We start from the raw sequence: 14,510 nt of genomic DNA on the forward strand, positions 1-14,510 counted from the left end.
GCTTTAATTCTTGATGTGACAAAAATAGACTGCTACAGAGTAAATAATATAGCCCCCTAAGGAGGGACTTACCTCTTCTATGTATACATGTTGGTGTCTCTTGTTGGTAATATTTATAGTAGGAAAGTATGTACCCTTGTCTATCACTCTATTTCTTCTGTTGCTCTAGTTTCAGGATTGAAGGACTTTTGGGTTTCCCTTTCAGTTAACACTAGCTCCTAAATGATTACATCCCTTTGGAAAAGGGAATGGCCAATACAGTGTCCACCTTACACTAAACTTGAGAAATGTAACAGGGAAAGCAATCCTTGATAACCTTGTACTCAGTGGTTCAGTAAAGATGGGGACTGCCCCAAGCTTGAGCTTGGCCCCTATATGAATTTTTATATTCAGACAATGTCTTAAACATGGCTGTTGGCATTTACTAAGATCACCATATTCAGTGTTGAGAGGTCTGGTCCTTTAGCACTGTTTCTCACAAGGAACCATTCTTGGTTTTTAAAGTAGGCCAAATCTAAATCTTCTTCCTACAGAAATATGAATAACTCATAGGTATTCAAGCTTATGCTTTAGCCAGAGTTCAAATTATATCCCCTAATTTAAATATGATTCTCAAAAATATTCATGTTTCTTTTGTCTTGCACTTAGAAGGGTATATAATGTCACTAGACATATAGGATTTCTCATATAATTTAATTTTACACATAGTTTTTTAGGAATAGAATTTTTAGAGATAACACTAATCTGATAAATCTATGAAATATAAAGCTTCTTATATATTTTTAGCCCACTTTTTTTTTAACAAGTCTGATATTAAGCATCCTTTCTTAGCTTCTTCATACATTACCACATAAGTTTAGTTTGTTAAAAGATGAATAAACTCTGAATCTGAAATGAAAAGCCAGAAAATCTTACTTGGTTTTTCTAATAAGAACCTAGGCATACAAGTATGATATCAAACTTGTTGGAAAGGAGAAAAGTAAGTACAGCAACTAGGTCTGGTTTAAAAAAAAAATCCAGGGAAATAAAAGAGACATAATAACCAAATGCTATGTGTAGAACTTATTTGGATTCCAATTCAAATGAACAGTAGAAGGACATCTTCACAGAAGTTTGAATATAAACCAGTTATTAGACGATATCAAAGAACTACTGTGATTTTTGTTAGGTGTGATAATGGCATGGTAGGTATGTTTTTAAAAATTCCTTTTCAGACAGAAATAGAGGTTGAAGTATTTATCAGTGAGGTGACATGATATCTGGCTGGGGATAATTCGAAAAATAAATGTGAGGGGATAGATGAAACAAGATTGGTAAGATGTTAATAGTTGTTAAAGCTGAGTGATGTGTATGTGGGGGTTCAATATACTATTCTCTACTTTTGAGTACACTTAGTTCAAAAAAAAAAAAAAGAAAAAAATCCAGAAAGGGAAAAAATAATTCAAGAAAGAATATTTAAAAAGATAAAGTATTGTTGAAAGCACAATGTCAAAGCAGAAAATGAATGAACAGGTACTAGGAACCAAAAAATGGCAAAGAAGAATGGGAAATAAAATATCGTACATTATAAAATGTCAGAGATGACAAAAACAAGCAATCCCTATTTAATAAGTGGTGCTGGAAGAACTGGCTAGCCATATGCAGAAAATTGAAAACGGGCCCCTTTCTTACAACTTATACAAAAATCAACTCAAGATGGATTTAAGGATTTAAATGTAAAACCCGAAACTACAAAAACTCTAGAAGAAAACCTAGGTGATATCCAGTTAGAATGGTGATCACTAAAAATTCAGGAAACAACAGATGCTGGAGAGGATGTGGAGAAATAGGAACACTTTTACACTGTTGGTGGGACTGGAAACTAGTTCAACCATTGTGGAAGTCAGTGTGGCAATTCCTCAGGGATCTAGAACTAGAAATACCATTTGACCCAGCCATCCCATTACTGGGTATATACCCAAAGGATTATAAATCATGCTGCTATAAAGACACATGCACACGTATGTTTATTGTGGCACTATTCACAATAGCAAAGACTTGGAATCAACCCAAATGTCCAACAATGATAGACTGGATTAAGAAAATGTGGCACATATACACCATGGAATACTATGCAGCCTTAAAAAATGATGAGTTCATGTCCTTTGTAGGGACATGGATGAAGTTGGAAACCATCATTCTCAGCAAACTATCGCAAGGACAAAAAACCAAACACCGCATGTTCTCACTCATAGGTGGGAATTGAACAATGAGAACACATGGACACAGGAAGGGGAACATGACACACCAGGGACTGTTATGGGTGGGGGTTGGGGGGAGGGATAACATTAGGAGATATACCTAATGCTAAATGACGAGTTAATGGGTGCAGCACACCAACATCGCACATGTATACAATGTAACAAACCTGCACGTTGTGCACATGTACCCTAAAACTTAAAGTATAATAATAATAAAATTAAAAAAAAAAAAGAAAACCTAGGTGATATCATTCAGCATATAGGCATGGGCAAAGTTTTCACAACGAAGATGCCAAAAGCAATTGCAGCAAAAGCAAAATTGACAAATGGGATCTAATTAAACTAAAGAGTTTCTGCACAGCAAAAGAAACTATGAACAGAGTAAACAGACAACCTATAGAATGGGAGAAAATTTCTGCAATCTATCCATCTGACAAAGGTATAATATCCAGCATCTATAAGGAACTTAAACAAATTTACAAGAAAAAAAAGCCAAACAACCCCATTACAAAGTGGGCAAAGGACATGAACAGACACTTCTCAAAAGAAGACATCATGTGGCCAAAAAAACATAAAAAAAAAGCTCAACATCACTGATCATTAGAGAAATGCAAGCCAAAACCACAATGAGATACCATCTCACACCAGTGAGACTGGCGAGTCAAAAAACAACAGATGTTGGTAAGGTTATGGAGAAAAAGGAACACTTTTACACTGTTGGTGGGAGTGTAATTTGGTTCAACCATTGTGTAAGACTGTGTGGTGATTCCGCAAAGACCTACAGGCAGAAATACCATTCGACAAGGAAATCCCATTACTGGGTATATACCTAAAGGAATATAAATCATTCTATTATAAAGACACATGCACACGTATGTTCATTGAGTACCAGTCACAATAGCAAAGACATGAAATTGACCTAAATGCCCATCAATGATAGGCTAGATAAAGATAATGTGGTACATACATACCATGGAATACTATGCAGCCATAAAAAGGAATGAGATCATGACCTTTGCAGGGACATGGATGGAGCCAGAGGCCACTATCCTTCACAAACTAATGCAGAAACAGAAAACCAAACACTGCGTGTTCTCACTTTAAGTGAGAGCTAAATGATAAGAACACATGGACACATAGGGTGGGGGGAACAACACACACTGGGGCCTGTCGGAGGGTGAGGGGTGGGAGGAGGGAAAGCATCAGGAAGAACAGCTAGTGGACGCTGGGTTTAATATCTGGGTGACGGGATTATCTGTGCAGCAAACCACCATGGTACACATTTATCTATGTAACAAACCTACACATCCTGTACATGTACCCCTGAACTTAAAAGTTGGAAATTATAACAAAAAAAGTTTTTTAATGTCATAGATGAAAAGGCAGCAAGGAGACTATCTACAGGACCAACTGTAATCTTATCACAGCCAACAGATTGCAATCCAAACTTGGAATATTAGGGATCTTTTTGGGATTACAAACTGGTACCATATTATGGAATTTACTATCTTTTAAGGTTGAAAAAAGTAATGCTGGACTTATGTACAAGATATGCCAACAGTTGAGTTCTTGTCACCCATATTTCTCTCAGTAGTTATAATCAAATGGTATCAGAACTTCCTGCAATCTTGGCAAATGGGGTAAATGAACATAGAAAACAAGATGAGGGTGATTTCCACGCATCAGAAGCTGCTTAAAAGCACAGCAGGTTAGGGAAAACTGTCTTTAGACTAGAGTTCTTGACAGCAGTTAGTAGGTCGAGCATAGGCTTATATGAAGAATGTTAAGTAAAAACATGATTTTTAAATAGACTAGATAAACTTATCCTTTTATGGCACATGATAAAGTATTTTAAACTAATTTTGACCTTATCAAAGTGATATTTCTGTTTTAACATACCTTTGATCTGTAGCTTGCTGTTCTCGAAGCTGAAGAAGAGATAACTCAATTTCATTTTCTTTTCTCCTCAACTGAGTTTTCAGGATCTCAGCCAAGTGCTCTAACTCCTCTATCTGGCCTCTTTGTGACTGAATAACGTTTTCTCTGAAATAAAGAGCCTCTGTAAGAACTTGTAGTTTGAGGAAAATTTTTCAATAGTTAAGATCAGTGCAAAGAAAGTTCTTCATGAAAAAGAGCAAGCAGAAGTTAAAAAATTTAGCTTAAGTGCCTCTGCACACAGTGAAATAGTAGCAGATTAAATGTGATGACTTGGAAATACATACGGAACAATGCAAGATACTGCTTTTTATAAGATAATGTCCTAGGCAATGGATTGGACTTTGGTTTGATTCAATTGAGTAAGTATTTATTGTGGAGTACACCTACTATGTATGCCACAATCTGGTCTTCAGAATATTTATATGTCTTTGTTCTTTCATATATGCACATCTGCTTATAACACCCAAATTAACACTTCAGAGAGAGAGGGCAGGAAATTTGCCAAATATAACTTAGTGGTCTCTGGCATGCATTTATCTCTATCATGTCTGGCAGCATCACACTGTAATGAGTCTCAGGAACCGGTATAAACGTTGGCTTTTCAGGTGATCATCAGGTAACAAGGTTATGTCTAGTCTTTTATTTTCCTGCAGGCTAATCATTACTGTAGCTGCTATTTAAAATATTCAAAAGGAAACATTTGAAGACCATATTATTCTTAAGCAACTATCTTAAGTATGATACTGTGCGCCATGTTTTCTTTTCTCATGAAGTATTGTTACTTTTTGATGATCCAGGTGAAGGCTTAAAGTGGAACCTTACCTTCATTTGTGTAACTCACAGACACTGAAACCATGAGGCTTGGATTAACTAGAAAAGTAAGCTAAATGTGGCAGAAGTAACTTTTTTGAAACCATATGATGAAGAATGCAGTGCCATAGAATCATACGAAAACAAAATCTGAAATCCATATGTATCTGATAACTCCAAACTTTTATGCCACTCCCCAATTCTTTATTTATTTTTTTTAACCAAGAAAAGGGCTAATTGATTCAGGATCTAAAAAAATTACCTGTGATTTTCTGGGAATAAAAATGTTGCCTCTAAATCTTACACTATTCTAACTGACTGGACTTTATGCCATTCCTCTGAGGGTCAAATTATAATAAAGAAGACTATTACATAAATCCTTCCATTGAGGCAGCTGGATAAGTTCTTCATTTTCCTTTTTCTGAGAACATGTTATATAACATCTGTTGTTACCCTACAGAACATAGCTGTATTTCAGTGGAGCAAACTGTTTACATATAAATAAAGGAAAGGGAAGGATAAAAAAAAAAGACATTATCAATAACCAAAGTTCTCAAATTACCACAAAAAAGAACACATACAAATTTCTTATTTCTCCTCTGGCTTCTTCAAGTAAACTGTTGCCATATTTTGTAAACATGGGATGTGGAGTTTCTGCTACATCTGCATCTTGGAATTTTATACCTAAAAACAAAGTAATAAAATATGATTACAGAATTGAAGTTAGAAAAGAAGGATCTTTGATTTGCTATAATAAGGATATTTATAATAAAATCTCTTAAGTATTAAGAGGTATGTGTTTTATAGTACACAGAATTATAAATACACTGCCAAAGGGAATATGTGATCTCAGCCACCAGTAGGCATTAAATAAAACACAGCAGCAAGTATTGCTCATTTTACAAATCTACTGTAGAAATCAAATTACCTAGAAATAATTTTATTCAACTTAAGATTTAGACTCCTGCAGTAATTTCTGAAATAAATCAGTCTTCTATTCAAGTTTTAACAATGTAAATAGGTTATAAAAACCTGATTTTTTCCCCAGTGTTTGTGATAAGGGTTTTTTAAATTTTTAAATTATTCATATTCCTTGCCCTTAAATGTTTAAGTAAAAATGTTTTCTGTATTTTGATTTATTCCACCCCAATAACAAAATCCCTATTTATGAAAAGGTACTTTGAGAATGGATCATCGCAAGAATTCCTTTAAATAAAACATTTCCCTGCTGCACTTAAAATATAATTTTTCTTATAGAAATCTGTAGAATTTTACAAAGACAGTCCCATTGTTTAAAATAAGGCATATTCTTAATTATGTGAGTTATTTTACATTTATAGAATAACTAAATATTAGAGTTTAAGGTAGATAAAGCATCACAGATGATTAAGGTTTTTAAATGGAGAACAAAACAACAAATTTATTCCTTTAGAAAAGTTAACTTTTTAAACGTGAGATTTCATTGCTCTGCATATTCTCAGTAAAGAGAAAATTTAAATAAAGAAAAAAGAGAATTTTAACTAGAACAATGGAACTATTACTCGCTCTTTCCAAAGTAGTCAATATCTATTGCTGTAATCCAGAAGAATAGAAAAGGCTCTGCCTAAAACATTAAAATAGTTTACTGTGTTAGAATTTGCCAATTGTATTATTTTGGCAGTAATGCTAATTCTTACGCTTTTCCTACATATACCATGAAAAAATTCAACATTACTAGTGGAAATAAAAAATAATCAAAACATATCTTAAAACTTACAGTCTCATGGTGATTTGCCAATGGCTATATATATATATATGTTATATATATGTTATATATATATATAAAACCTTTTAAAGATTGATACATAATATTTGTACATATCACTGGGGTACATGTGGTATTTTGATGCATGCATACAATGTGTAATGATCCAATCAGGGTATTTAGGATATCCATCACCTTGACCATTTATCATTTGTGTTGGGAATATTTCAAATCTCTTCTGGATATTTTTAAATATTCAGTATGCTGTTGTTGCCTATACAGTCTACTGTGCTATAAAACACTAGAACTTTTTCTTATTTTTTCTATCTAACTGTATCTATGTGCCCATTAACCAACCTCCTTTCATCCTCCCCAGCGCCCCATACTCTTCCCAGCCTCTAGTAACTATCATTCTACTCTCTACCAATGGTTACATTTCAAAACCTTTGCTTTACAAAAATCTTTGTTCCGTTGTTTCCTCATAATAAGTATTGTTTCTATATTACATTGATCACACATTTAGCCAGTGCTTTCCATCCTTTATCCTGACAAGGCACAAACAGAAAACAGTAGTATTTGTATAGCACCTTGATGGTAAAGGTTGCTTGTGGCCAGAGAGGGGTTTTAGGGTTCTTAGCCAGCCATCCCAGGCTGAGATATTTTCCTGACAAGTCTCGCCTGTCTCAGCCTCAAAGGTAGTCCTGGAGAGCCTGTTAAAGTGTCAGTTTTGGTAATGATGCTTCAGGTTTACTCATAAAGACGGATTAAGAAAGTATTCATCACTACTTAATGCTTTGTGTCACTTCCATGTCCTGAACTCTATCCTGAACAGTGAGAAAGGTCTGAATCACCAAGAGAGTACAAATGTAAGGAGAAATTAAAGTATGTAGTCATGTTTTTAAGAGTCTGCTGATCTGTGGCTCTTAATTTCGCTATAGGGAGAAACTTCCAGCAAACTCTCCTGTCTGAACAGCAATTTATAGCACTAGATTAGCTTGCCATTTTAATTAACATTGACAATATTATGATTTTATCAAAGAGAAAGTCAAAACTTATTTTTCTCTTCCTAAAGACACTTAAAAGCATGAATAATACAGAAACAAAACTTTTTTTGTGTTAAATGATCTAATTAGACTTCAGTTTAGATTTAATGTAAAATCTGGGCATTATAGACTTATTTATTTATTTTTGAGACTTAGTCTCCTCTGTCGCCCAGGTTGGAGTGCAATGGTGCAATCTTGGCTCACTGCAAACTCCGCCTCCTGGGTTCAAGTGATTCTCCTGCCTCGGCTTCCCAAGTAGCTGGGATTACAGGTGCGTGCCACCAAGCCCAGCTAATTTTTTGTATTTTTAGTAGAGATGGGGTTTCACCGTGTTGGCCAGGATGGTCTCCATCTCCTGACCTTGTGATCCACCTGCCTTGACCTCCCAAAGTGCTGGGATTATAGGCGTGAGTCACTGCGCCCAGCCTAGACTCACTTATTTTTAGAGACTGTGTCTCACTACGTCGCCCAGGCTAGACTCAAACTCCTGGGCTCAAGTAATCTTCCCACCTCAGCTTCTCGAGGACTTTAGGTGTACACCATTGTGCCTAGCTTGAACATTATTTTTATTTAGTATAAAAGATCTTGCAGACTTTAGAGATCATCTTGCCCAGTTCCAGTTCCAGATGGCAAAACTAAGGTTCAGAGAGGATAGGTCACTTTAAAGGTAAAATATATTATTGTGGGAGCCACCATCTCCTGATCTCTTATCTAAGCTGGATTATTACCACTCCATTTTATAGATGGGGAAAATGAGGCTGAGGTCAGTATTATCTTCCATGTAAAACAGTTACTCAGTGGCAGAATGTACTTTCTAATTTATAATTCATTATGCTTACTTTAGTTGTATTCAGAGTCTACTGCCAATCTCACATAGCTAGGAGTAGCCAAGCCCTTTCATCCTGCAGCTGCCTCCTGCCTGTGTGGAGGCCTTATTGACTTCAAAGGAACTCTATCTAGGGAAAAGATAGTGCTAACATTTTGGCTTCAAGAGCGAACTACAACAAATTTTTCTCCCTTTCTGTTCATAGTGGTTTTTCGTTTTTTTTTTTTTAATTCCTCAAAGAATTGAAACTAAAGTTTTACATGCTACTTTACATCCCTAAAAATGTTTGGTCTTTATGTAAAGTATAGTCTAAACAAAAACCAATTAGAGCTAAAACCTAATTTCCTTTCCTACTAGTTGAAATTTTAAAAACGTTACTTAAGATATTTATTGAATTGTGGTTCCATTATAATAAAGTTTCTCTGTGGGTGAAGAGAATTGAAAATTTTTATTAGAAATATTTATGTTCTATATTGAGTCTTGTCTACACAATTTAATTACTTTGCAACTTGGGTACATTTTAGGTTATTAATTTTTAAAGTGAACAAAGTGATTGGCCTATGATCATTTTTAGAGATGGAAGAGACCTTTATCCTTACTTGTTTCAATCCTTTTACTTTACATGTAAAGAAAACTCAGGGTCAGATTGATTAGGAGACTTGTCTAAGGTCACCAGCCAGTAAGTGTAGAAATAAGGACCCAACTTTTTAAACCCCTGGTTACATGCACATGCCATGTCATGCTACCGCCATCCAATGAGAAAGATTTCAACACTTTTGCAAATTTCGAAAAGGTCTTTGGATGAAGAACTTAAATGTGATCATTCATTACAGTAAATGTGGTCATATGTAAGCAAACTAGCTAGTTTCCCCACCTGCCTGAGTACAGTGGGTTTAACCAACCCAAACGCAATTCAACTCATTTTACTTAGTTTCACACATCTCTTACATTAAGGTTATGTGGAATGTTTTTACTAAACAAATTTGAGACTGATCTAGTGATTCTTAAATAATCTTCACTGACAATATTATTTTATCAAAGTAAAAAATTATTTTTCTCTTCCTAAAGACACTTAAAAGCATGCGTAATACAGAAGTAAAACTTTGTGTTTTTTTTGTGTTAAACAATCTAATAAGACTTCAGTTTAGATTTAACGTAAGCTTTGTTTTACCTTTCCTGGGGCATTCCTGTAAACCAGCATTTTCATTTGCTTTTCTACGCCCAGTGTTAATACGAGATTGTACATTATTGTATGGAGTTTGCCTGTAACCCTGGGTTTGAAGTTGCTGTTTGGCTGAAATCAGTCTGTTTTTGAGGGTTTCATTTTGTTTTTCAAGCTCATGAACTTTCTCTTGCAGCTGCTCAATCATTTCTTCCATTTCCACATCTCGTCCCAGCCGCTTGGGGCCGCCACCAACCCGCTCATATCTTTTCTTGTCATTAACTAGCCGTATTAACTTGGTGGCCATTCTGGGGAAATAATAAAAAGATGAAAAGGAATGTGAGAAGTCAGCATAAAATCCATTCTGTTGAAAGGAACATAATCACTGTGAAGACTTCAGTGCAGAACCTGAATAATAAATTTCAGGTTTTGATGTAACTATTACTGCCTGTGAAGAATCCTTTGATGATAATTGAAACCACTGGGCAACAATCTGCTTTATAGCACTGACAAATAACAGTTTCCTAAGGCTTATCATTTAAGGTTAGTAAAGAGAGGACACATATTTACTCCATATGTTCCTGAAACGCAATTTTTAACGCATGACCTTATATAGGAATGCTGTACGCACTTAAGTGTAGTTACAGATTGTGGATGTGGTGGGTTATATCTGCAATCCACAGTAAGTTAAAACTTTTGAAAAGTGTGTTAAGACTGTGCAGCATTTAGGTAATATATTGTTTTCAGTTTCTCCAGGATTAAGACACACTATAAATATAAAAATGTTAGAATGCATAAATGCACACATATAAAGCCCAATGAAAAATTCAAAAGAAACCAAAATGCACCAATAAATGTTGCTTAGTGCTCAAGAAACACTTGTGTTTAATGGTAAAAAATAATTAGATGCAAAAGTATCATTTTAATGCTATCTTTAAATTTGGACATAAATTGTGCTTTTGACATCTCAGGAGTTTATACCTTTGATTCTTTTAAGTTTTGATAAAAACTGGTTAGAAAGAACAAAAGACAGAAAGGGCACATGGGGGTGATGTAATATACACGTACGGAAAACATGCCTGACAGTGAATGGAAAAATCTTGGCAGGACAAGAAAGAAAAGGTGGCTTTGATGAGAGACACAAGTTCAAGACTTTACAAAATTGGTCGCACATCTTCAATAGCTGATTCTAGTTTATAGTGAATCTATTTTTATAAAGACCCAGACAGGAGATTGAAAATAAAAACACACTTCATTTTTCTTTAAATGGGTTTTGCTTTATTTTAGCGTGGTTATGGACAGAAGCTTTTACTTAAGGGAACAAAAGTGAAATAAAAAAACCTTTAATAGCTTTGGGATGTCATAGAACAACCTTTTTTCTGCCCTAAGCAGAGTCCGCTGTAAATGCGGTAGTAATACATGTCTATCCACACTCTGGCTACTCGGCCTACAGCATGTGGCATCAGGGAGAGCTATGCATAACATAATCAGTTAAGATTGTTTTCTCTTTCCCTTGAGGCACATCCATTAAGCATGCTTTATAAAGGATACAGGATAATAAAAACCAAGATCCAAGAGTACCACAAACACTCTAGTAAAATAATCAATGGATTAGTTCCTTTTCCACCTAATTCCGAGAATGATATATCACTGGGAAATTTGGCCAGGTATCACAGTCCAAGAGGGCCACACACTCTACCTGGCCCTTTAATGAGTTTAGGGTCCTAAGCCCCACCCAATGGCCTGTGCACAAAAGTAAGGTTGTCATATGAATGAGACGTCAACCTAAATATCTGAATTTTCTGTTACAGAGAGACTTTCACACAGAGATGTAGATTACATTCAAAAGAAAGACACAGATTTAATATAAAAAGGCAGTTAACACCCAGGTAAAAATAAATGACCCTAATTTTTAAGGCAGGGTATCTTTAAATTCTTCAAATGATATTCAAATAAACTTTGTCAAGAAACATGATTGCATCTGTTTGTCTCGTAATAGCCATACATTCCATTTGCTGGATTTGATTATTTTATCATATTAATGAATCATACGTGATCTGGCAAAGTCTGAGTGCTTATTTAAAAAGGTAGTTTTGGCTAGACGAGGTGGCTCATGGCTGTAATCCCAACACTTTGGGAGGCCAAGGCAGACGGATCACCTGAGGTCTGGAGTTCATTTGAGACCAGCCTGGCCAACATGGTGAAACCCCGTCTCTACTAAAACATAAAAATTAGCCAGGTATGGTGGCAGGCGCCTGTGATCCCAGCTACTCGGGAGGCTGAGGCAGGAGAATCACTTGAACCCGGGAGGCGAAGGTTGCAGTGAGCCGAGATCTTACCACTGCACTCCAGCCTGGGCAACAAAGACTTCCTCTCAAAAAAAAAAAAAAAAAAAATTAAAAAATAAAAAGGTAGTTTATAAAATCTACATTTATAGAAAATAAACTATTTACTTTTTTGTTTTGTTTTGTTTTTTAGACAGAGTTTCGCTCTTATTGCCCAAGCTCAGTCCAATGGCGCGATCTTGGCTCTGCAACCTCTGCCTCCCGGGTTCAAGCAATTTTCCTGCCTCAACCTCCGAGTAGCTAGGATTACAGGCTTGTGCCACCATGCCCAGCTAATTTTTTGTATTTTTAGTAGAAATGGGGTTTCATCATGTTAGCCAGGCTGGTCTTGAACTCCTGACCTCAAGTGATCCGCCCGCCTCAGCCTCCCAAAGTGCTGGGATTACAGGCGTGAGCCACTGTGCCTGGCCTATTTACTTCTAAAAGATAAATTTAAAGACAGTTCTACCCATGTATCTAGGTCACAGTCAGTGGTGTGAGATCGAGAGGCATTTAGAGCTTTTGGGTCATAGTGTTCATTGGATCATTATTCTCGTAGCTAAAGTAAAACGAACTTTCAGGAGGTTAAATGGCTTGAACATACATACCACAGGCTAGTGGCAGAGAGATAACAGAATGCATACATACAACTTGATTCCTAGCTCAGTCCTTTTCCCATTAAACTACATGGCTCATTATTCAGTTGTTTTTTATTTTCTGGCTATGACAAATTACTAATGAGGTCAAGGATGTGAATTCGATTCTTTTACTGACCAATTAGGCTTACAAAGAAAAAAATTGTTAGGTGGTCATAGCAGACTACATGCCTCATTCTGACTGGCTGATGTGTGTGGGATAATGGTCAGAAAAGGAATCAGGCAAGTGAGTCACAAATCTTGAAAACAGCCATCATCATGACTAAAACCCAACTCAAAGTAAAAGGCCTGCACATAGCATGCCAGTGGGTTGTTGAAGTCCACAGAGTAGAAACTGAACTGGAACCACCTCCTTAGGATGGATTCTAAGCAGAAAAACCCTATTTTCATTCTTCAATGGTTGTCTCACCTTTTCTTTGAACCTAGAACATAAATATGAATACAGACCTGCTCATGATTACACATCTGAACACACTTTGTTTTTAATGCCTTCCCCTCAGAAAATAGGCACAGCATTTCTGAATAAAAAAGAATGAAAGAGTATCTACTCTTAAGAAATCATTTTTGCCAAGATTTTTTGCACATAAATCAAAAGTGACAATACTGTTTCTTCAGAAACAGTAGAGACTCTTTGAAATCAATATAGAATCTAGTATAACCCAAGCAAAGTTAAATATGTTCCAGAGACTGAAGTGATGTTTTCATTAGTAAACCCCAAATCTTAAGGGAATGTGCATTCTAACAAGTTAGAATAGTTAGTTACTTTTTAAAACTTTCATTTTAAAATCAAGACATTTAAAAAACAGATGCTTTGGCCATTTGCTTATTAAACTATAAATATTAAACCAAAAGTTATTTATAGGTATGATATACTAACGGCACTCTATTAGCTTTTTTCATTTAAATAGCAAATTCAGACATAATAAACACTCATAATCTTTTTGGTTTATTATTCTAGTTTGCAAGATTTTCCATTTTTAAAAATTGTACTTATTTACATCCTGCCTTGTTCCAAACAAGATTCAAGGTGGGGTATTCAATTAAGTTTATAAAATACCATACCCTCCAAATTTTACTGAGTCAAGAAAAAAAGCTAAAAGCTTTTTATCATAACCTTTTAATTTTATCCTCCTGCTTGCGGGCATGCTGTTTAAGTAAAATGTTCTCATCATGCAAACGCAAAAATCTGTCTTCCAGTTCCTCACGACTGACACGTGACACTGCCTGGCGAGACTTCATTGTCCGTGTTGTTGAAGTTTCTGCAAAAATGCCAAGATAATTAATTGTGAGGTTACTTAAAATAGTCTCTAGAAACTCTTGATATTAATATAATCTCTGATGCACTCATCTGAGATTTTTTCCTTTGTGACCTACAGTTAAGATTGCTTTAGAAAATGTTGTACCATTGTTTACATCAATTATTTAAGGTGAGAATAAAAATCTTTGCTATTAATACTTTATATACAGTTTTAGGAATTTGAATAACAATAGTATCCATTCAAAAATGTATTCAAGTGCCGTTCTTTAAGAATATAAGATGGAATTCTGATTCAATAAAGACTTTTGAATTTACCTGCTGAATGTTGTGACAACTAAAAGAGTATCCGAAGCTTATTTTTTTACAAAGGCAAGAGTAAGAGTAATTTGGTAAACATAATATAACTAAGATATTTTTCTGTGCTATGAGTGTCTTAGAAAACAAACTATAAAAGTTGTAAGACCAAATCAAAAAACCCCTAAATTTAAAAATTTTCATTTAAAAGCTTC

At 35.3% G+C, this 14,510-nt stretch overlaps 1 protein-coding gene across 30 annotated transcripts in view, besides 1 other annotated feature; it reads right to left on the minus strand.

The window, feature by feature from the left end:
* The window catches only part of RPGRIP1L (RPGRIP1 like), a 105,707-nt gene that overhangs the window by 84,141 nt on the left and 7,056 nt on the right, over nt 1-14,510 (minus strand). For 28 of the 30 annotated variants that reach the window (XR_007064862.1, XR_007064860.1, XR_933260.4 and 25 more), the window contains exons 3-6: nt 13,858-14,002; nt 9,773-10,071; nt 5,570-5,672; nt 4,140-4,283 (exon numbers count right to left, since the gene is read on the minus strand). Coding sequence is in view for 26 of the 30 variants with exons in the window: in NM_001127897.4 (NP_001121369.1) it covers nt 4,140-4,283; nt 5,570-5,672; nt 9,773-10,071; nt 13,858-14,002 (691 nt within the window). In the remaining 4 variants the exon portion in view is untranslated. Of the gene's footprint in view, nt 1-4,139; nt 4,284-5,569; nt 5,673-9,772; nt 10,072-11,018; nt 13,166-13,337; nt 14,003-14,510 lie in introns of those variants that run through there. The other 2 variants (NM_001328422.2, NM_001328423.2) reach the window with 2 other exon arrangements.
* Nucleotides 10,111-11,351: an enhancer, noted in NCBI's record as "VISTA enhancer hs59". NCBI's record gives its function as "enhancer in: branchial arch[8/8] | eye[8/8] | nose[8/8]" and the evidence as "EXISTENCE:transgenic organism evidence [ECO:0001131][PMID:17130149]".

This window comes from Homo sapiens, chromosome 16 (assembly GCF_000001405.40).
Source record: "Homo sapiens chromosome 16, GRCh38.p14 Primary Assembly".
Taxonomy (NCBI): Eukaryota; Metazoa; Chordata; class Mammalia; order Primates; family Hominidae; genus Homo; species Homo sapiens.